Here is a 22243-nt window from a genome sequence, read left to right as displayed (position 1 = left end):
TGGCTTTTTTTTTTTTTTTTTTTTGAGACAGAGTCTCGCTCTGTTGCCCAGGCTGGAGCGCAATGGTGTGATCTTGGCTCACCGCAACCTCCGCCTCCTGGGTTCAAGCGATTCTCCTGCCTCAGCCTCCTTAGTAGCTGGGATTACAGGTACACACCACCACATCCAGCTAATTTTTTGTATTTTTAGTAGAGACGGGGTGTCACCACGCTGGTCAGGCTGGTCTCGAACTCCTGACCTCGTGATCCGCCTGCCTTGGCCTCCCAAAGTGCTGGGATTACAGGCGTGAGCCACCGTGCCTGGCCAATTTTTTGTATTTTTAGTAGAGAAGGGGTTACACACCATATTAGCCAGGATGATCTCAATCTCCTGACCTCGTGACCTGCCTGTCTTGGCCTCCCAAAGTGCTGGAATTACGTGTGATCCACTGTGCCCGGCCCAGGCTGGCTAATTTTCGTATTTTTTGTAGACAGTTTCACTATGTTGCCCAGGCTTGCCTCGCACTCCTGACCTCGTGATCCGCCTGTCTTGGCCTCCCAAAGTGCTGGGATTACAGGTGGGAGCCACCGCACCCGGCCTCTTCAAATGTTTTCTATCATAAAGAACGTGTTAGCACTTCCAAGTACACTTAAGGTTTCGTCAGTTTCTCACTGTGATTCTGTTCTACAAGACTCATATTATGTGCCTGGTTTTGAACTATTACATCTTCCTAATAGATTGTTTCTTTTATAAAAACATAGTGACCCCATGATTCTTAAAATGCTTTTATACCTTAATGTCTGTTTTGCGCGACTAATGCAGCTCCATCAGCTTTCTTCAGTTTCATGCCTACCTTGTATATCCTTTTCTATCCCTTTGCCCTCAACTTCCCATATCCTTGTTTTAGGTGTATCTTTTCTAAAGAACATATGGCTGGTCCAAAAAGAAATTCAGTCTGTTAGAATTTGTCTTTACACTTGGTTTGTTGAGTACAGTCATGTTTATTGAAATTGCTGACATATTTGGATATGCTGTCAAATCCTAGTGCTTCCAGTTCCTGGCAGTGTGACTTTGGTCAGTTACATTCTCTAAGCCACTTCCTCCTCTATAAAACAGGGATGGTTGTGTGAGGACTGAGATGTATATAAATTATTTGGTAGACTGGGCAGCACACACAGGCTCTGAGTAGATTCCCTTTTTTCTCCCTCATCTCCTCCCCTTTTAGACAGACATGGACAGATATGTCTCAACGACCAAATGGGTGAAGATGCTCAGAGCATCAAGGGGATGGAGATCCAGTTCTTGTGACAGAGACTGAGCAAGTAGGAGGCAAAGAGAGGTGCTGATGATTGCTGTGAGTCAGAGACAGTGTGCAGGGCCAGGCTTTGGGTCAGGCACTACACAAGGTGGGTCCTGTCCCTGGTTTACATATGAGGAGGTCATGGAGGTTCAGGAAAGTCACTTATCTTAGGTCCCAAAAGTAGCCACAGGGAGGAGTCAGGCTCTGCAGCCTGAATTCAGGCCCATGCCTTTTCTGTTCCCTCCAGCATGCTGGAAGCCTGTGCAATTTCACTAGGAATGTGCATCTCTCCTCTCTGAGTTTTCCCCTAAGCCTGTCATCCCTCTCAGTCTCTCAGCCTCTGGCACACGATATGTGGCCCTCTCTGCCTGTGTCTGGGACTCCCTCAGAGATACTTCCACAAAGTCTCTGTCTCCCTGAGTCTTACCTTCATGTTATGAACGTTTCTCATCAGTCTCTGTGCCTCTATTTACTCTTGACATAGAGGGAATGGGCCCGAAATACAGGGAGATACATATGGAGAGATGGTGACGGTGACTAGTACACAATACGCCAGGTCAAATGGTTCACATATGATGAGACCATCACAGAAACAGAGGCATGAAGAATGATACACTAACAGTAATGAACAGAAGCTGCAGCATCCAGTGATAGACAGGGACCCTAAAAATGGGACAGGGATGCAGCATTGTGAGAGAAGACCAGAGAACACATGGACAGAATGCTGGCAAAGACTAAGTCCATGACACCAGGGGATCTGGGGCCCTAGAAAATGACTCAATACAGTCACATTTTATTGAGGCCACTGCATGCCAGGCTTATTTGGGTGCTGGCCCCCAGGAAAATCAGATTATTCTTGCTCTCCAGGGTTCAAGCTGCTGGGGAGACATCCATGTAAACATACATAAGGACAATGTGGGGCAGAGACAGCACGGTGACTGCCTCCTGGGGGCACCAGTCACATTCATGTAAGAGACATCAGTCAGGGCCTACTGAGTCTTGTGTGTTGTAGATACTGAGAGTAAGACATGGCCCCTGCTCTCAGGAGTTTATGGTATCCTTGGAAAAGGCAGCTCTACAAGGAGCAAATAAGTAAAACAAGGTGGCAGGAGTTGTAAGAGAGGTATCTAGGAGGTGCTCTGGAAGCAGAGAGGGCAAGCTGAAGTCTGCTCCCGGAGAGCAGGGAGGTTTCTTTGGGCAACATTTGAAACACCTTAGATGAAAAAGGAGGGCCAGGTGCGGTGGCTCACGCCTGTAATCCCAGCACTTTGGGAGGCCGAGGCGGGTGGATCACGAGGTCAGGAGATCGAGACCATCCTGGCTAACATGGTGAAACTCCATCTCTACTAAAAATACAAAAAAAAAAAAAAACTAGCTGGGCGTGGTGGCAGGCGCCTGTAGTCCCAGCTACTTGGGAGGCTGAGGCAGGAGAATGGCATGAACCCGGGAGGCAGAGCTTGCAGTGAGCCGAGATCGCGCCACTGCACTCCAGCCTGGGCGACAGAGCGAGACTCCATCTCAAAAAAAAAAAAAGAAAAGAAAAGAAAAAGAAAAAGAAGAGGAGGGTTCCAGGCACAGGTACAAAGGCACATAAGTGGGAAAATGTATGGCTCCTTCAGGGACCACAGTAGTTCCGTGTGGCTGGTGTATGGAAGGTGGAGCCATGGTATGAGATGAGGCCATTTTCACTGCACGCACAGAAAAATGACAGTATTCATACATGCATATGAGGATAACTGGAGAGGTTGCTCGGGGCCCAGAGCAGCCTGCATCTCAGCATACTTATACCCTGTTCAGGAAGCTGTGCTGTAGAAGATGGGTTGGAGAGCTTTCCACCTTGGAGTGACACAGTCAGATCTAAGTAATATCAAGAGTCCCCTGGAGAGTGATACAGGGGCAGAGAATAAAGGCAGGAAGTGGTCAGGAAGGAGACCCCGGCTATAATCCAGGCAAGAGGCAATGAGGGCTCACATAAGGTAGCAGTGGTGGAAAAGGAGGTGAATTACAGATAAGCTTTAGGTTAAAACAATAGCGCTGGTGACTGGTGGGATGTGGAAGGAAAAGGAGAGACAGGAACATGCTGGGCAGGTGTCAAGCAGCACCACTGATTACGACAGGAAACCATGAGAGAGGCAGAGTGTAGAAAAGGCATCGTGGAAGAGGCAGTCTCAAAAGTCAGCCTTGCAGTTAGGCACAAAATAGTCTGGAGTGGAAATAGTAGGTGCCAAGGCACAGAGGTGGGCATGGCAGGTGTCCGTTCTGGGCTAAGCAGCAGAAAAGCAGGCAAGAAGAACCACATGAGAACAAGCTACAGTTGGCCCGCCCAGAGCGTCTTGGGACGCTGAGTTCTGAGAGACATGCGCCTTCATTTGCCCTGGCCCTCAGAACCAGTCTAAATCCTCAGTTCGGCTGCCTTCTCTCTGGGACAGCCCTGAGTGGGAAATAGAGGGTAGCAGTGCAGGGCCCTTCTGGAAGCTTCTCCAGCTGGCCTGAATCACCTTGTGCTCATCAGGGTTCCTCAAATGCAGAGTGGTTCCTAGACAGCCCGAGTCTGCCCTCAGGCACCTATCATTTTGACAACTCATCAATCACCCACCCTGTCTGTGGCTCTTCAGGAACTCAGCGTTTCTCTTAGACCTCGAGCCTCCGAGAAGACGCTGTGCTACGCCCCCAGGGGCGACTTCCGGTCATTGCAGCACCGTGATGTGGATCCGCAAGTGAACCATCAGGGCTGAGCTACGACTGAAGGCCTTCCCACAGTCGCTGCACTTATAAGGCTTCTCTCCCGTGTGGATCCTCTGGTGCTCAATGAGGGAGGAGCTCTGTGCAAAGGCCTTCGGACAAACCTTACACTGATATGGCTTCTCTCCAGAGTGGATTCTCAGATGTCGGATCAGGGCTGAGCAGTCGCTGAAGGCTCGGCCACACGCGTCACACTTGTAGGGCTTCTCCCCGGTGTGGATGCGCTGGTGTTGAGTCAGGTGCGTGCTCTGGCTGAAGGCTTTCCCACACGCGTCACACTCGTAGGGCCGCTCCCCCGTGTGCACCCGCTGGTGCTGGGTGAGGTGAGTGCTGCGGCTGAAGGTTTTACCACATTCCCCACATTTGTAGGGTTTCTCTCCAGTATGAATCCTTTGGTGCTGAGTCAGGTGGGTGACTCGGCTGAAGGCCTTCCCACATTCCTTACACTCATGGGGCTTCGCCCCTGTGTGGACAACCTGGTGCTGGGCGAGGTGAGTGCTCCGGCTGAAGGCTTTCCCACACTCGCTGCAGGCATATGGGGTCTTCCGAGAATGGGTCTTCTGGTGTGCCTCGAGCGCCGAAGCACTCTGGAACATCTTCCTACACTCGCGACACTTGGAGGACCTCTTCCCTGAGTAGGTGTATGGAGGCTCTGTCCCATAAGCATCCACCAGATCAAATTTGTCTTCTGAAGGAGGCTTCTCTTGGGAGGTGAGGTTTGGCCACGCACTAGAACTGTTCCTCGAGGCACCAGATTCACGGCCACGCTGGTCTGTGGGGACATCCTTGTAAGGCCCTGAAGTTTTCTTGAAGTGGATCTGTTGGGTGACAGACTTTGTCCAGATCTCCCCTGATAGTCCAGACCTCTCTGAGCTGCCCTCAGGTTCACATGCCTTGACAAAGGCGGGTCCAAGGGAAACACCTCCCATGAGGGTCTCAGTGACATTTGATGGCTCTGACTCTCCCAGGTCACTCTGCTTGCAGCTTGCCTCTGTGGGCTCGGCTCCTGGATCCCATCCTGAAACAGTCCGAACCACACTGTCACTCCTCCTACCACACCAAGCCTCCCCTACTCTGCCGAGGGCCCCGGTCACACTTTGTAAGGGGAGATGTGGCCCGTTCCTAACATCTGGCCCCAGTTCCAAGGGGAAGTTTCTCATTTGGTGTCTTGGATGACAAAGGGTGCAGGGCTGTCCTCCCACACCATCCAAAACTACACCATGGGTTCTGATTTCTCCTCCTCCCACCAAACTCGCCATCTTTCAAGGCTCCCAATTTTGGCTCAAGAGTCAAGAGGAGAAACCCTGATGTGGAACTGATCTGGAGACAGAGAGAGAGGGAGGGTCTGTCCTTGTCAGGACCCTGAGCACATGCACCCCTGCAGGCTCTGATCTCTGTGGGGTTGCAGTTCTGTCCCTCACACTCAACACCTTGCGTCTAGGCCTGGATGTGTCCCCTGCAGGCTCTGATCTCTGTGGGGTTGGAGTTCTGTCCCTCACACTCGACACCTTGCGTCTAGGCCTGGATGTGTCCCCTGCAGGCTCTGATCTCTGTGGGGTTGGAGTTCTGTCCCTCACACTCGACACCTTGCGTCTAGGCCTGGATGTGTCCCCTGCAGGCTCTGATCTCTGTGGGGTTGGAGTTCTGTCCCTCACACTCGACACCTTGCGTCTAGGCCTGGATGTGTCCCCTGCAGGCTCTGATCTCTGTGGGGTTGGAGTTCTGTCCCTCACACTCGACACCTTGCGTCTAGGCCTGGATGTGTCCCCTGCAGGCTCTGATCTCTGTGGGGTTGGAGTTCTGTCCCTCACACTCGACACCTTGCGTCTAGGCCTGGATGTGTCCCCTGCAGGCTCTGATCTCTGTGGGGTTGGAGTTCTGTCCCTCACACTCAACGCCTTGCGTCTAGGCCTGGATGTGTCCCCTGCAGGCTCTGATCTCTGTGAGGTTGCGGTTCTGTCCCTCACACTCAACACCTTGCCTCTAGGCCTGGATGTGTCCACAGGTGCTCAGTGAATTCTGGCTGAATGAGGGAATCCATCCAGAAGCCCACGATGGTGAAAATTTCTGCAAGTAGAACCCCAGGTAGAATATGGCTGCTGGGGGTGAGTACATGAGGTACCCATCTGGCCTCTCAAGCCCCTACATTGTAAAGTACTATGAAGGCAGAGTGTGGCGGAGGTGCTCTTGGAGATCAGAGTGTGCATGAGGTAGAGGAATGCTCGCACTGACCTGCCCTGCATGGGTGCAAAGGACACATAATCTGGCACATCTACTGGATGGATTCCAGGGAGGAGGCAGAGACAGGTGGAATACCCACTGCTCAAGTCCACAGTGGGGCTCAGCAGTGCAGAAACTGGACTCAAACCCCAGGTCTACCACCTTAATCAGTCCTGCCCTCATCTGGGACTCAGTCTCCCCATCTGTAAGCCATGGATGCTGTGCCGCTGGCCTTCCAGGGCCACTAACCACTATCAGGCTCTTGTCGTGCTGGGCCCCAAGCACAGTGGGTGACTTCCATCGCCTCATTTCAGCTTCGACCTGCTCTCAGAAGGAGGTACTGCTGTGATTCTGTTGCAGATGGGGAAACTGAAATCCAGCTGAGGGAAGGTGTTGAGTAACTGGTACAGGATCACAGTTAGCTAGTGGCCCAGTTGGGATTTCAGCTCCAGAATGTTCTCCTCCAGGTCCACAGGCAGTCTCCCCTGCTCCCCCAGCCATCTGCTTGGCCCTGTCTCCCCCTTCCTTCCTCTATCCAGAAACATCACACCACCTGCTTTTACCAGAATACACCAGTGCAAATCACACTGCCAGGCCTTTGACCCCACCATTCCCTCTGCATTTTACCCTTTCTCTGAGCTTTGGCCAACCCTGTGGGAGGATGGGGCCACTCCCTCCTTCCTCTCCCTGTCTCTGTGACATCTGCTTGGGCATAGACCAACCTCTGTTCCAGAGAGGCCTGTTTCTCCCAGAGCTGAACAAATTATCCTAACAGTTGCAGTTACCATTTATTTAATCTGTGCCAGGCACCATTTCAGGTGCTGCACGGGTATTGCCTTGTATCTCGCAACACCACTAAGGTGGGCGTTTTTATTACAATCCCCATTTTACCCATGAGTAAACTGAGGCACAAGGGAGTCACATGGCCAGGAAGAGCAGCAGCGGTTGGATCTACTGAGCCTTGATGATGCAGCTGTATCCAGACTCCACATTCCTCCTGCACACTGCACGTTTCCTCCCAGTGTGTGGTATGCCCACCTCCTATCTGTTGCCAATAGGCCAGGCCAAGCCCATCTGAGACGAGCCACCACTCCCTGCTCTGGATTGTCCCAAGGCTGGGTCTTCCCTGCATCCCACTGGACCTCCCTGGGTTGGGATGTTTGTGTGGGTCTCTGTGAGTAACAGTGCCCAGCTGAGCCTGGGGCAGGTCTGACCCACCCAAATCCTGGAGGCCAGCCCAGGGTGGGCATAGAGAAGGTACACAGGGACATCTGGTATTTCCGTCACCCCCAACAGCCACCCCAGGCACCCAGGCCCTCGTCTGGTTTCCTCTGAGAAACAGCCAGTTGCTCACTGTTAGTCCCTGGGATTTGGTTGGCCAAACACAAACATAAGATCCCAACCAGGCCAGTGGGGGCTCAGACCAGGGACCTCTTATTGTTATTACCCCGGGGTTTCTACATTGGTAAGACATAAGCCTGGGGTTCCTGGCTATCTTTAACCCCTTTGGAAAGAGAACCTAAAATAAGAATGAAGCTAACACAGAAAAAACCAACTGAGAAACAGAACAAGAGAGGAAGAAGAGAGTTCTGATGCTGTCAACAGATCTTCTGGATATAGCCGTATCTGCTGCCTCCTTACCCTTCTTTGCTTCAGCCCATTTCAGCTCGCTTTTGGTCACCTGCAACCAAAACACACCTGTCTACAACAGTGTGTGAGAGTTACGGTAAAGTACAAATGTGAGAATGGGTGCATGAGCAACCCCAAACCAGAGCCCTGTGCTCCCATGTTCCTGTCCAGGGTGTATCTCTGGTGTGCCGTGAAGCTGCCCACGGCGCCCCTTTACCTCTCTTGTCCAGCACCTGAGTCAGATCCTCCACCAGCACAGCGGCTTCCTCTCCGCTCTTGGGACTCTGGGCTCCCACCCAGGCTTGGATCTCTGGGGGCAGCGCACCCAGGAACTGCTCCAGCACCAGCAGCTCCAGTATCTGCTCCTTGGAGTGCGCCTCGGGCTGCAGCCACTGACAGCACAGCGCTCGGAGGTGGGCCAGGGCCTCGTGTGGACCAGATGCCTCCTCATAGCGGAAGTGCCGGAAGCGCAGGCGTGCAGCCTCAGAGTGAGCAATGTGGTCATGGCTGGATTCTCCGCCCTGGGAGAGGCTGGCTTCCTCTTCCTCCTCCACCTTCACTTGAAGGAAGCTGTCCTCTTCCCACGGCACTGGGCTCAGGGAGTGCTTGGGGATGGCCATCGGGCAGCAGTGCTCAGTGAGACACAGGATGCCGGAGCCTTGGAACTGGGCCTGCAGGAATGTCAGAGCTTCAGCATCACATGGAACCTGGGCCCTGCCTCATGCCTACAGAGCAGGGAAAACACAGGCTTGTGGCCCGTGAGATGTGAAAGACTCTCACAAAGACATAGACAATCCTCATAATTAGGACAGCACCCACTTGGTGCTGAGCACTGTTCTAAGCTACTACTGCTTGCATGTAGACTCATTTAAAACTTACAACAAACACCATCCTGGCTAACATGGTGAAACCCCGTCTCTACTAAAAATACAAAACAAATTAGCCAGACGTGGTGGCGGGCACCTGTGGTCCCAGCTACTCAGGAGGCTGAGGCAGGAGAATGGCGTGAACCCGGGAGGCGGAGCTTGCAGTGAGCCGAGACTACGCCACTGCACTCCAGCCTGCGCAACAGAACAAGACTCTGTCTCAAAACAAAAACAAACAAACAAAAAACTTACAACAAACTCAGGAGGTGGGACTTTCTACCTATTTTATGGATGGAAAAACAGACACTCAGGAGGAAAATATTTGCCCAAAGTCCCTCAGCTAGTGAAGGGTTAACAGAGAGCTAAGCTACAAACCCACGCAAACCTACAGCCAGCCTGTTTAAGGCGTGCTCCTCCCCAACAGAGCCAAGTCTTTCTCCCTCTGTTCCCCAGGTAGCCACATGGTCATTCTCTCACTTTACTTGCTAATTATTTTGTAGTGTTTGAGATTGATACATAATTGACTTTCGCCTTTCCTCTTTTCTAATGCACATATTTAAGGCTATAAATTTCTCTCTAAACACAGCTTTAGCTATACATCACAAGTTTGATATGTTGTATCTTCATTATCATTTAGTTAAAAATATTTTCTAATTTCTGTTACAATTTCTACCTTACTCATTAATTATTTTTTAAAATTTATTTTATTTTTTTGAGACGGAGTCTCCCTCTGTCGCCCAGGCTGGAGGGCAGTGACGCTATCTCGGCTCACTGCAACTCCGCCTCCCGGGTTCAAGCAATCCTCCTGCCTCAGCCTCCCAAGTAGCTGGAACTACAGGTGTGCACCACCATGTGAGGCTAATTTTTGTATTTTTAGTGGAGACGGGGTTTTGCCATGTTGGCGGGGCTGGTCTCGAACTCCTGACCTCAAGCGATCTGCCTGCCTCGGCCCCACAGAGTGCTGGGATTACAAGCATGAGTCACCATGCCCAGTCCCATTGGTTATTTATTTAAAACTCTCCTGCTTCATTGCCAAACAACTGGGGGTTTTCTAGTTGTCTTTTTATTACTGATGTCTAGATTAAGTCTGTTGTGGTCAGAAAACATGCTACAATGGATTTCGATCATTTAAAATTTGCTGAAACTTGGTTTGTGACCCAGTGTATGGTTAATTTTGGTTAATGTTCCATGAATACTTGAAAATAATGCAAAGCTGTCTTAGCTATGACACCAAAAGCATAAGTAACAAAAGAAAAAATAAATAAACTGGACTTTATCAAAATTAAAAGCTTTTGTGATTTGAAGGACCACATCAAGAAAGTAAAAAAGCAGCCCACAGAGTGGGAGAAAATATTTGCAAATCATATATTTGATAAGGGACCTGTATCTAGAACAACTCCATAGTAAAAAGATGAATAATACAATTTTAAAATGAGCAAAGAATGTGACTAGACATTTCTCCAAGGAAGATACACAAATGGGCAATAAATACATGAAAAGATGCTTAACATCACTAGCTACCAGGGAACTGCAAATGAAAACCACAATGAGATAGCACTTCACACCTGCTGGGATGCCTATAATCAGATAACATGTGTAGGCAAGGATATGGAGAAACTGTAATCCTCATATGCTGCTGCTGGGAATGTAAGATGGGATAGCCACTGTGGGAAGTACAGTCTGGGAGTTCCTCAAAAGCTTAAACAGAGTTACCCCATGACCTAGCAATTCTACTCCTACGTATAGACCCAAGAGAAATGAGTATATGTCCTCACAAAACTTTATACATAAATGTGCATAACAGCATTACTCATAACAGCAAAAAAGGAGAAACAATCCAAATGTCCACCTGATGAATGGATAAAATGCTGTATATACCTATAATGGAACACTATTCACCATAAACAGAAATGAAGTACTGATTAATGCTACAACATGGATGAACCTTGAAAACATGATGCTAAGTAAAAGAAGAAAGACACGGCAGGGCACGGTGGCTCACACCTGTGATCCCAGCACTTTGGGAGGCCGAGGTGGGTAGATCACCTGAGGTCAGGAGTTCAAGACCAGCCTGGCCAACACAGTGAAACCCCGTCTCTACTAAAAAATACAAAAATTAGCTGGGTGTGGTGGCAGGCACCTGTAATCCCAACTACTCAGGAGGCTGAGGCAGGAGAATCTCTTGAACTTGGGAGGCAGAGGTTGCAGTGAGCCGAGAGTACACCACTGCACTACAGCCTTGGCGACAGAGGTAGACTCCATCTCAAAAAAAAAAAAAAAAAAAAAAAGCATATTAGTGTTTGTCAGAGGCTGAAGAGAGACAAAAATGAGAGTGGTTGCTAATAGGTTTGGGAATTTCTTTTGGGGATGATAAAAATGTTCTGGAGGCCAGGCGCGGTGGCTCACGCCTGTAATCCCAGCACTCTGGGAGACCGAGGCGAGTAGATCACGAGGTCAGGAGTTCAAGACCAGCCTGACCAATATGGAGAAACCCCATCTATACTAAAAATACAAAATCAGCCGGGCGTGGTGGTGCATGCCTGTAATCCCAGCTACTTGGGAGGCTGAGGCAGAAGAAACCCTTTAACCTGGAAGGTGGAGGCTGCAGTAAGCCGAGATTCTGCCATTGCACTCCAGCCTGGGCAACAAGAGTGAAACTCCATCTCAAAAAATAAAATAAAATAAAAATACAGCTTTTAAAAAAATAATGTTGGCCAGGCACGGTGGCTCATGCCTGTAATCCCAACACTTTGGGAGGCCAAGCTGGGCCGATCACAAGGTCAAGAGATCGAGACCATCCTGGCCAACATGATTAAACCCCGTCTCTATTAAAAATACAAAAAAATTAGCTGGGCGTGGTGGCGTGTGCCTGTAGTCCCAGCTACTTAGGAGGCTGAGGCAGGAGAATCTCTTGAACCCGGGAGGTGGAGATTGCAGTGAGCCGAGATCACGCCACTGCACTCCAGCCTGGCAACAGAGACTCCATCTCAAAATAATAATAATAATAATAATAATAATAATAATAATAATAATAATAACGTCAGCTGGACGCGGTGGCTCACACCTGTAATCCCAGCACTTTGGGAGGCTGAGGCAGGTGGATCACAAGGTCAGGAATTCAAGACCAGCCTGGCCAGCATGGCGAAACCCCATCTCTACTAAAAATATGAAAACTAGACAGGCGTGGCAGCGGGGGCCTGTAATCCCAGCTACTTGGGAGGCTGAGACAGGAGAATTGCTTGAACCCGGGAGGTGGAGGTTGCAGTGAGCAGAGATTGTGCCACTGCACTCCAGCCTGGCCGACAGAGTGAGATTCTGTCTCAAAAAAAAAAAAAAAAAAAGTGCATTTGATAATTGTTGGGTGTTCTCTCCCTTATTTAAGTCAGGCCTCTACACAAAAGACGCCTTATCAGTAAGTCTCTGTGCTTCTACACTGCTTTATTTGCTCTTTACCACCTGATGTGTGATACACGTATGTGGTTACTTGTTTATTATTTACTTGTCCCTGTTGGAGTATCAGCACATTAAGGGCAGGGGTTTTTGTTTAGGTCTTTGCTTTATCCCCAGTGTCTACAGCATTGCTGGGCACATACATCAATAATAATACTTTTGTTCAGCACAGCCCCATTAGGTGCCTACTCTGTGCCCAGCACTGTACTAGGAATGCAAATACGGGGAAGGCATGGGTGCTGGGCTCAATGGCCTCAACGGAAGGACAGCGACCAACACATGATAAGATAATTATGATGATGGATATGGGTATAGTGTGCAACAGGAATAAAAGAAAATGGGAACAGACAGTCAGTGGGAACCTACCGGCTACCAGGCCACACTAGCCTTTGGCATCTGTTATCCCATTCAAGCCTTAGCTCCACCCTGTGAGTCAGTATTACCACTCCCATTTTCCAAGTTGGGGAAAGTCAGCTGCTAGAGTCATCTGGTCAGTAGGAACAAAGCTAGTGTTTGAGCTCAGGCTATCTGCGATCTTTCCTCCACACTCAAAGCCTTTCCAAATTCTAGAACTGTGAGCACTGAATGCTGGTCAGGGACAGCAAAAAACTACTTTCATGTACTATTGGTGAGGGCAATCAATTAGAATATCTTTGGCAAACAATTTGGCAGTATGTTGTAAGAGCTTTAAAATGACTGTGCTCTCTGCCTCAATATTAATTCTACTTCTCAGAATCTAGCCCCATTTCTAGATGGGGGTGCTACCGACATTCAGAGGGAGATAATACTTTCTTTTTGAAAAAATTCTTTTTTTCTCCAGACGGAGTCTTGCTTTGTCGCCCAGGCTGGAGTGCAGTGGCGCAATCTTGGCTCACTGCAAGCTCTGCCTCCTGGGTTCACGCCATTCTCCTGCCTCAGCCTCCCGAGTAGCTGGGACTACAGGCACCCACCACCACACCCAGCTATTTTTTTTTGTACTTTTAGTAGAGACGGGGTTTCACCGTATTAGCCACGATGGTCTCGATCTCCTGACCTCATGTTCCGCCCACCTCAGCCTCCCAAATTGCTGGGATTACAGGCATGAGCCACTGCGCCTGGCCGCATGTAGGCAATGCTTAACTTTTTAAGAAACTGCCAGGCTGTTTTGCAAATTGGCTATACCATTTTGCATTCCCACCAGTTGTGGATGAGGGTTCCAATTTCTCTACATCCTTACCAAGGTATTTTATACTATGGTAGTTCCCCCTTATCTGCAGGGGATGTGTTCCAAGACCCTCCAGTGGATGCCTGAAACCATGGATATTACTGAACCTTATATATTCTATATTTTTTTCTTATTATATACCCTTGATAAAGTTCATAAGTTAGGCATAGTAAGAAATTAACAACAATGACTAATAAAATAGAACAATTATAACAATACACTGTAATAAAAGCTATATTAATGTGGTCTTTCTCTCTCTCTCAAAATATTTTATTGTACTATATTCACCAAAACTGAAGATGAGGGGTGACTACTGTATTACTTTTCTTGACATTCTCTACTTCCCACAGTGAATTTGTTTTCTCTTATAGTCAGGAAGAATACCCTAAATTAAGTGTAACCTCTCCTAGGAGACCTCGACACTTTGCTTTGGCCACATACTACTCCTTACTCAAAGACTTAGCCTCTCCCTCTCCCATCCACGACTCCCACAGTTTTAAGTATTTGGAGTTCTTTTTCCTTTCCTTCAATGTCAGCCAGGACGCTCAGTGTGCCTGGAGTCTCTGCTCAAGGAAGTCACCCTGGACAGAGATGCAGGAGGCCTGAGAAAGAGCAATGGCCTTGGGCACAGGAAGAAGAGAACGTTACTCTAAAACAAGACCCCAATCCTGAAACCTTTTGGTGACCGCTGGTGACCTCTGGTGGCCTCTGGCCAAGCTGCGTTTAAGCCCCTTCGCCGCACTGTAAAGTTCTCCTGGGTCTCTTGTGGCCTTTCTAAGCCCCTTGTCGCCCCTGCTGCTCTCGAGTTCTGAAATCCGTCTCTGACGGATTCCTCTGGGCTCTCTAGGCCTCATCTTAGCTGCCACTTTCCTCAGGTGTCATCCCAGATACCTGGTACTAGTCTAAGTCCTCTTCCCAGAGTGCCCTGGGTAACTCTTTGCTAGTTCTGTACTGTTTCCTCAGAGAGGCTGGGCTGTCCTGGAGCCACAGCACACAGGACTTGCCCTATAGCAGGTTCACAATAAGCAGGCATTAAGCAAATGGAATGACCAGTAAAGGCTGAGCATGGTTACCCAAGAATGTAGGGAATCATGAGGGGAAGGAGGAGCAAGGGTGGCAGGGATGACAATAGATGCTGCAACAGCTTCCAAGTTCTCTTTTGCACCCCTGGAACACCTGTTCTGGAGAAATCCCTCATGACGGTCTCTGAAATACATGTATGTGAAACTTCCTCAGCCTCCTCAGCCAACCTCAACTCCTATCAGGTTGAGGTTCCCCATCCACAGCTGCTTTACCAACCAAGGAGGGTGGTTCTTTTCATTTCTCACACATGGATTATACCAAGCCTGATAATGGTACCTACCTCAGAGGGTTGCTATGAGATTATGTGAGGTGATTTATTATAAGTGTCCAGCACAGGCCTGGTGCACAGTAAACATGCAGTAGATGTATGGATACCATAGCCCCCTGCTACACGTAAGCAAACACTGGGGGACATATCCATAAGCCCAGCTGAATGACCACTAGTCACTCAGTTTCAGCTGCAGACATGGCAAAGCACAAATCCTCTCTCATATGCTTGGTAAACTGTTTGTGGATCACCCAAGTTTTAGTCTCCCTGATAAAAATCTCAGTCAATCAGATATTAACACATATTATCTCAGGTACAGTCTGTCAGCCACAGCCTTCAAAATACCCAGACACAGGAAATATCTCAATGTCACCTATAATCAGTCAAATAAACACAGGCCTGGCCAGGCATGGTGGCTCATGCCTATAATCCCAGCACTTTGGGAGGCCTAGGCAGGTGGATCACCTGAGGTCAGGAGTTCCGGGCCAGCCTAACCAACATGGTGAAAGCCCGTCTCTACCAAAAATACAAAAATTAGCCAAGTGTGGTGGCCGGTGCCTGTAATCCCAGCTACTCGGGAGGCTGACGCAGGATAATCGCTTGAACCCGGGAGATGGAGGTTGCAGTGAGCCGAGATTGCGCCACTGCACTCCAGCCTGGGCAACAGAGCAAGACTCCGTCTCAAAAATAAACACAGGCCCTCGCAGCATTTCCATCACACAGTATTATTCTGATCACAGTCATTCATAATCTTAGTCACCATCTCAAGGACACACAAAGAAAATCAGTCACACTTGAAATCCCACCGTCACACGCTCACCCTCTCACAGTATCTCACAACCCACGTAGGAAGTCTCAAACGGCAACCATCTCTGTCAGTCACACACTCCATGGTTAGTGTTACACTCAACCTATCAGAATCACACACTCCAACCCGTCAGATACACACACCCAAGAGGTGTCAGACACAGAACCGCCTATCAGACACATAAACGGGTCCGCCCCACACCCTCCCAGGCCACTGGTCCTACATTTTATCTGTTATCTGTCCGCCCGCTCCACACTTCGTCCGCCCCACACCCGGTCAATCAGTCCATCCGACACACACTCCGTCAGTCCGACACATTCTCCGTCGGTCCGTCCGGCACTCAGTGTGTCATTCCGCACCACATTCGGTCCGTGAGTCTGTCCACACCGGGTCCGTCAGTCCGTGCACACACGGTCCGTCCACGCCTGGTCCGTCAGTCCGTCACATCCTCTGCGCGTGTGTCCGGCACTCGCAGTCCGTCTACTCACGTCCCCTAGTCAGCCTCTCACTCTCTACCCGCTGGGCGGTACCCCGCATCTCGCTCTGGCCGCCCCAGAGGTTCGCGGCTTCTGGACCTGCTGTGCCCCTCTCCAGCCTGGATCAGGACGGAGAACACCCCCGAAACCCACCTCACCAGCACAGCCGGCGGACCCTTCCGGAGGTGGCCGCAGAGACTAGCCAACTTGCGCGCCCGCCGACCCGGACCACAGCTCCCAGCACACCTCAAGGGCCCACGCCCGCCAGGACTACAATTCCCGGCGTCCTCCGGAAGCTCAAGTGTACCCAGGCGCGGTGCCTGCTGGGAATTGTAGTTGACGTTGGTCAGCACGGAGGCCACAGGATCCCAGCCCGGCCTTTGTGGGACTGAGGTGGCGCTGAGTGGGAGAGCAGCAGGCGATGCGCGAAAGGCGGGACTTGGAGGTGAGGGAAATGTGAAGGCTGAGGGTGAGAGTGCCTGTGTGAGGCTGAGGGTGCCTGTGTGAGGGTGAGGGTGAGGGCGGCTGTGTGAGGGCTGAGGGCTGAGGGTGCCTGTGTGAGAGCTGAGGGTGCCTGTGTGAGGCTGAGGGTGCCTGTGTGAGGCTGAGGGTGAGGGCGGCTGTGTGAGGGCTGAGGGTGCCTGTGTGAGAGCTGAGGGTGCCTGTGTGAGGCTGAGGGTGAGGGCGGCTGTGTGAGGCTGAGGGTGGCTTTGGGAGGGCTGAGGGTGTTTGTGTGAGGGGTGAGGGGTAAGGGTGAGGCAAGAAAATCGGGTCTGGAGGCAGGGAACCTAAGGACTTCCTAGAAGTAAATCAAATGGAAACTGCAGCTATGGTAGGAAATATCCTCTCCATTTATGCAGGGCGTACATGGAGTAAATCACTTTGTAACTTTACTTCGTCCTCTTCATTTACATAGGGCATATACCAAGTAACCAATGGAAACCTCTAGAGGGTATTTAAACCCCAGAAAATTCTGTAACCGGGCTCTTGAGCCCCTATGCTCCGGCCTGCTCCCATACAGTGGAGTGTACTTTCATTTTCAATACATCTCTGCTTTTGTTGCTTCATTCTTTTCTTTGTGCATTTTGTCCAATTATTTGTTCAAGATGCCAAGAACCTGGACACCCTCCACCAGTAACAAGGGTACCTGGGTGAGAGGTGAGGGTGCCCATGTTAGGAGTGAGGGGAGAGGGTGCCTGTCTGAGGGCTTGTGGGTGTGAGTGTCTGTGTAAGTACTGAAGGTGCCTTTGTGAGAGGTGAGCGGTGTGGTTGCCTATGTCAGGGTGTGTATTGAGTGTAGCTATGTGTGGCTCTCTGTGAACACATGTAATCATTTTTATAAATGTGTATCATTTTTTACTGAATTTGAGCTGGGCGTCTGTCTGCATGAGTCACTCTGTGACCAGGTTTGTGGGTTGTTCTGTGTGCTTACTCTGCGTGTGTGTGACCTGTGATTTAATCATCATATGTGATAATCATGCAGCTGTGTTTGCCTGCACCAGGTGTAATTGTGTCTGAGACAGATACTTAGAGGTAATGGGGTGGACCTGACACAGTATAAAGGCCCTAGACTGTGTGTGATGTTGTTACGGTGACTGTGAATGGTAGTGTGATTGTGTGATTCAGTCGATGCCTGGACTGTGTGTGAGAATGTATCTTCTCTGTGTGTGTGTGTATGTGTAAGAGACATTGAGCAGGAGACTCTGGCTTGGGGCCCGATACATAGAGGTTGGTGGCCCAGCCTATGTTCAGGTGAGGCCTTTTTGAGGCAGGGTGTGTATGATTGCTTGGTGGTGCTGGTGGTGTTTCTTGGCCCCAGCCTGTGCTCACATCCCCTATTATTCTCAGACTTTGCCCTGCAGACTGCTAGCAGCTGGAATGAGCATATATTCTTTTCCTTCCACAGATAAATACTGAGCACCCACAACAGGCAGCCAGCACCACTGCAGATTGGATACTGCAATGATGATAAGCATGGCCTGCCTTTATGGAGGTGATGTTATTGTGTGGGGAGGCAGATGGTAAACAAAGAAGTCATTTTTCTGAGAAGTTGGTATTTAAGCTGAGGCCTGAATAGAGCGAAGAACTCAGGGAGAGTAAGTTCAAGGTAGATGGAACACAAATGCCCACGTCAGGAGGAGGCATGGATGAGGAAGACTGGCTGGGGTGGATTAAGGGAAGGAGATGGGAGGGGACAAGGACAGAAAAGGGAGGCCTGTGGGGGCAGATCTTGAAGGGCTTGTGAGCCACATACGACTTTGTTTATTTATTTTTTGTAGAGACAATGTCTCACTGTGTTGCCTAGGCTGCTTTTGAACTCCTGGCCTCAAGCAATCCTCCTGCCTCAGCCTGTCAAAGTGCTGGGATTACAGGCGTGAGCCACCACACTTGGCTCACATACAGACTTTGATTTCCACCTTGAGAGAAGTGGGAGCTATGGGAGGCCTTTGAGCAGAGGAGGGCTGTGCTGTGACTTAGCTCTTCATAGGAATTCTCTGGCCGCTGCAGGAGAAGACTGTCAAGATGAGAGTGGAGTCAGGGAGACCAAAGATGCAATTGCTTTGAGAGTACTGGCACCTGAGGCAGGTAGCTCAGATCAGGGTGGTCAAACGGTGGTGTGGTAGAGATGCTAACAGGTGGTCAGATCTGGATCTGTTTTGAAGGTGTATCAGGGGTGTCCACTCTTTTGGCTTCCCTGGGCCACATTAGAAGAATTGTCTTGGGCCACACATAAAATATACTAATGATGGCGGATGAGTTTATTAAAAATCGCAAAAAAAATCTCATAATGTTTTAAGAAAGTTTATGAATTTGTGTTGGGCTGCATTCAAAGCTGTCCTGGGCCACATACAGCCCGTGGGCTGTGGGTTGGACAAGTTTGGTATAGATGATAGGGTTGATGGGTTGAACTACAGTGTCCAAGGGGTGAGCAAGGCTGACCCAGGTGCCTGATAGTGCCCTCTGATTATGGGTGGGAGGAGGGTGTATTAGTTTGCTAGGACTGCCATAACAAAATACCACAGATTTGGTGGCTTAAACGATAGTTTAAAGTTTATTTTCTGGGCCAGGCACGGTGGTTCATGCCTGTAATCCCAGCACTTTGGGAGGCTGAGGTGGGCGGATCATGAGGTCAGGAGATCGAGACCATCCTGGCTAACAAGGTGAAACCCCGTCTCTACTAAAAATACAAAATAAATAATAAATAAATAAAATAAAATCAGCCGGGCGTGGTGGCAGGTGCCTGTAATCCCAGCTACTAGGGAGGCTGAGGCAGGAGAATGGCGTGAACCCGGGAGGTGGAGTTTGCAGAGATCCGAGATCACGCCACTGCACTCCAGCCTGGGCGACAGAGCGAGATTCCATCTCAAAAAAAAAAAAATTTTTTTTATTTTCTGACAGATCTGGAGGCTGGAAGTCCCCAGATCAAGGTGTCAACAGGTTTGGTTTCTCTTGAGGCCTCTCTCCTTGGCTTGTAGATGGCTGCCTTCTCACTGTGTCCTCACATGGCATTTCCTCTGTTTGCACATGCCCCTACTGTCTCTCTCTCCTTATAAGGACACCAGTCATGTTGGATTAGGACCCATCCATATCTTCTTTAACCTTAATTACTTATTTAAAGGTCTTATCTTCAAATACAGTCATATTCTGAGGTATACTGGGGGTTAGGACTTCAATATATGAATTTTGGGGGGACACAATTCAGTCCATAACGGGTGAATGGACAGTGGCATCAGTGTGGGGATCCTTAGACCCCTTTTCAGGGAGATTCTAAGGAGGAAACGAGCGAGATAGGGCAGCAGCTGGAGGGGACTCTGGTGTCAGGGAGAGGAAGAAGAGCCCTGGTTGACATTTAATGGGTATAGGGTGACTTGGAAAGCCAATGGAATCTCTCCTCATTGGCTCCTTTTCTGCCTAGATTGTGAGTCTGTGCTGTTAGGCCTGAGAGGGGTCCTGCCCTTTACATAGCCGAGGCCAGGGTATCCTTGATGCCTTGTACAGGGCTAGGTACTAAGAGTTGGCTGAGGAATGACTGAATGACTGGCAGACCAACAATGTTCCCTTGCCTGGAGCTGCATAGCTGGATTCTCCTCATTCATCTCCTGCACCCACCATGGCACCTGTAGTCAATACTGCAGACCTTGGAAGGCCCTTTCCCTTGGCCACCCCTTTTGTGCTTGTGCTCTGTTCAATCAGCATTCTGGCCTCTGGACTCTCCTGAGTGGATGCTCCTCCTTTCCTCTCTCCCTTTGTCTCTTTCTTATCCTCTCCCCAGATTTCAAACCTTATCTTTTTCAGGGAGTATTCACTTTAATTTGGCAATTGTATCAGCTATTGCTCTGTAACAAACAGCTACGACACCTCTGTGGCCCACAGCAAAAAAAGTGCTTATTTTTGTCATGTGTCTGAGGGTTGGCTGATCTGGGCTGGGCTCAGCTGGGCTTGGCTCTAGGCTGCAGTTTGGGTCCAGGTCTGCTGTATTTGTCTTGCAAGGCTCACAGGAAAAATTCTTCTCATCCTGATGGCAGAGACACAATGGGCTTTAGGCCTGGACTCAGGACTAGCATGCTATCACTTCCACTTAGATTCTGTTGGCCAAATCAAGTCACATGGCCACACCCAAACTCAAGGAATGGGTGGGGACATCAAATTTGCCTTTACTGGGAAGAACCATAAATATGGCCGTGGGTGTATATATGCAAGGAGCAGTGAAGAATTGAGCTAGTAATTCAATCCACTACAATAATACTTTTGGTTTCTTTTCCTTCCATGTAGAAAGCCAACAAAATCATTTGTGACCCTGGTTTCTTTCAGTTCAAGGCATGTGGTGATCATGCTGCCTAAGAGTATCTTTGTTTACCTGAGGACCTTGGGCCATGCCAAGTATTTGTCAACAATGTGATTTATGGTGAGGATCTTAGGCCACACTGTAACAGTCTGACCACTAGAGGGGTGGGAGACTAAGTGACTAAAGTCAGTCAGGTGGGCACTCCATGCCCACTAGATCATCACCTAGTAAATGTCCTGAACACCAAGGCTTGGGTGAGCTTCCTTGGTTGATGCTACTCTATATTGTCACTCAGCGCTGGGAGAATTCAGCAGTCTCTACAACAGCTGTACCTCCTCTCTTCTGGTTGCTGCCCTACGCATCTTTTATCTTTGTGATTTTAATCTGTATCCTTTGACTATAAACCGTAAATGTTAAGTATATCAGTTTTCTATGTTCCTCTAGTGAATCTTCACACCTGAGGATCTTGGGGACCCCCGCATAGAGGCCAGCTAGAGGCTAGATCTCAGCCTGACAGCCAGAGAACCCCTGAGCAATGTTACAGGGGAGAGTGGGAACACATGCAGGGCTCCCAGGAAGCATTTAATCAACATCTGGATTGAGCAGTGGCTCCCAGTTACTACTTTGCGTTTGCCTCAAGTCAGCTAAATGGGTCAACTTGCTTCTTCAGGTGGAACCCAATCATTCCATTGTCTCCCATGCTCAATAGGACTTTATATTCTAGAACTGCCTCCTCAGTTCTAGAATTCCAGTAAATACCTCTGGGCATTGGTAAAAGGGAAGGAAATACTTCTGCCACCTTGGCCTTATCCATTAACTCAAGTATTTTCGTCCTGAAAAGTGAGTGCCTTTTAGCTAGGGGCACTGGGCAAGTGATTTAACCTCTCAAAGTCTCAGCTCCCTGATGTATGAAGTGGGAATAAAAATACATCCCAGGCCGGCTAAGAGGATGGAATGGGACAATCTACTTAAAGTGCTTCTAAAGTGCTCAGTAAAATCTTAACGAACATCATCACTGTCTCAACTAGTTTTAGTGACGTCCTCATGCTGAAGCTGAGGAACACACAAAATTTTCTTCTTAAAGAGCTAGACTCTGTGACACACACTTCAGCATATAAATTTTACCTTTTTGGTTCTGGGCAATAAAACCCCAAACTATATGGTCTACCTTAATACAAGGCACAAACAACTGCAAAAGCATCTTTTAAAAATATGTATTTTTTTGGGCGGGCGCAGTGGCTCATGCCTGTAATCCCAACACTTTGGGAGGCCGAGGTGGGTGGATCACGAGGTCAGGAGTTCAAGATCAGCCTGGCCAAGATGGTGAAACCCCATCTCTACTAAAAATACAAAAAGCTGGGTTTGGTGGCGGGGGCCTGTAATCCCAGCTACTCGGGAGGATGAGGCAGGAGAATCACTTGAACCCAGGAGG

The 22243-nt window shown here is 49.3% G+C and overlaps 1 protein-coding gene, 1 long non-coding RNA gene and 1 other non-coding gene across 8 annotated transcripts in view, besides 3 other annotated features; 1 reads left to right on the top strand and 2 right to left on the bottom strand.

Moving 5' to 3' along the window:
* Positions 1-960: 960 nt before the first annotated feature.
* Positions 961-16299, bottom strand: ZSCAN22 (zinc finger and SCAN domain containing 22). 6 transcript variants are annotated; one of them, XM_011526917.3, is made up of 3 exons: positions 14754-16299; positions 8088-8541; positions 961-5039 (listed from the first exon to the last, which is right to left on the bottom strand). In XM_011526917.3, exons 2-3 carry the CDS (start codon positions 8488-8490, stop codon positions 3967-3969), a joined length of 1476 nt encoding a protein of 491 aa, XP_011525219.1. In that variant the 5' UTR covers positions 8491-8541; positions 14754-16299; the 3' UTR covers positions 961-3966. The 6 variants fall into 6 exon arrangements, with proteins under 6 accessions (XP_011525219.1, XP_006723255.1, NP_862829.1 ...); XM_006723192.4 differs by having other exon boundaries at positions 15909-16299; NM_181846.3 differs by having other exon boundaries at positions 16179-16299.
* Positions 4281-4782: an enhancer, noted in NCBI's record as "H3K4me1 hESC enhancer chr19:58849877-58850378 (GRCh37/hg19 assembly coordinates)". NCBI's record gives its function as "activates a minimal SCP1, AML or CMV promoter by ChIP-STARR-seq in naive H9 embryonic stem cells {active_cell/tissue: H9 hESC(naive)}" and the evidence as "EXISTENCE:reporter gene assay evidence [ECO:0000049][PMID:30033119]".
* MIR6806 (microRNA 6806) lies at positions 8542-8605 on the bottom strand. The gene has a single exon (NR_106864.1). It is a non-coding gene; the product is annotated as a microRNA 6806 (primary transcript).
* Positions 15672-16414: an enhancer, noted in NCBI's record as "H3K27ac-H3K4me1 hESC enhancer chr19:58838245-58838987 (GRCh37/hg19 assembly coordinates)". NCBI's record gives its function as "activates a minimal SCP1, AML or CMV promoter by ChIP-STARR-seq in primed H9 embryonic stem cells {active_cell/tissue: H9 hESC(primed)}" and the evidence as "EXISTENCE:reporter gene assay evidence [ECO:0000049][PMID:30033119]".
* Positions 15999-16328: an enhancer, noted in NCBI's record as "active region_15184". NCBI's record gives its function as "activates an Ori minimal core promoter by ATAC-STARR-seq in GM12878 lymphoblastoid cells {active_cell/tissue: GM12878}" and the evidence as "EXISTENCE:reporter gene assay evidence [ECO:0000049][PMID:35858748]".
* LOC105372480 (uncharacterized) overlaps positions 16045-22243 on the top strand; it is a 12299-nt gene continuing 6100 nt past the window's right edge. Inside the window, exons 1-2 of the long non-coding RNA NR_144444.1 lie at positions 16045-16470; positions 17932-18121. This is a non-coding gene — a long non-coding RNA (uncharacterized LOC105372480). The remainder of the gene's footprint in view (positions 16471-17931; positions 18122-22243) is intronic.

Source organism: Homo sapiens, chromosome 19 (genome assembly GCF_000001405.40).
Source record: "Homo sapiens chromosome 19, GRCh38.p14 Primary Assembly".
Taxonomy (NCBI): Eukaryota; Metazoa; Chordata; class Mammalia; order Primates; family Hominidae; genus Homo; species Homo sapiens.
This window is presented reverse-complemented; position numbering and strand designations above follow the sequence as displayed.

Bases quoted from the DNA above. Each gene is read 5' to 3' on its own strand.
- ZSCAN22 (XM_011526917.3), bottom strand. From the start codon at position 8,490: ATGGCCATCCCCAAGCACTCCCTGAGCCCAGTGCCGTGGGAAGAGGAC. The intron at 5,040-8,087 runs GTAAAGGGGCGC...GGACTGTTTCAG, and splicing joins TCAGGTGCTGGACAAGAGAG to GATGGGATCCAGGAGCCGAG.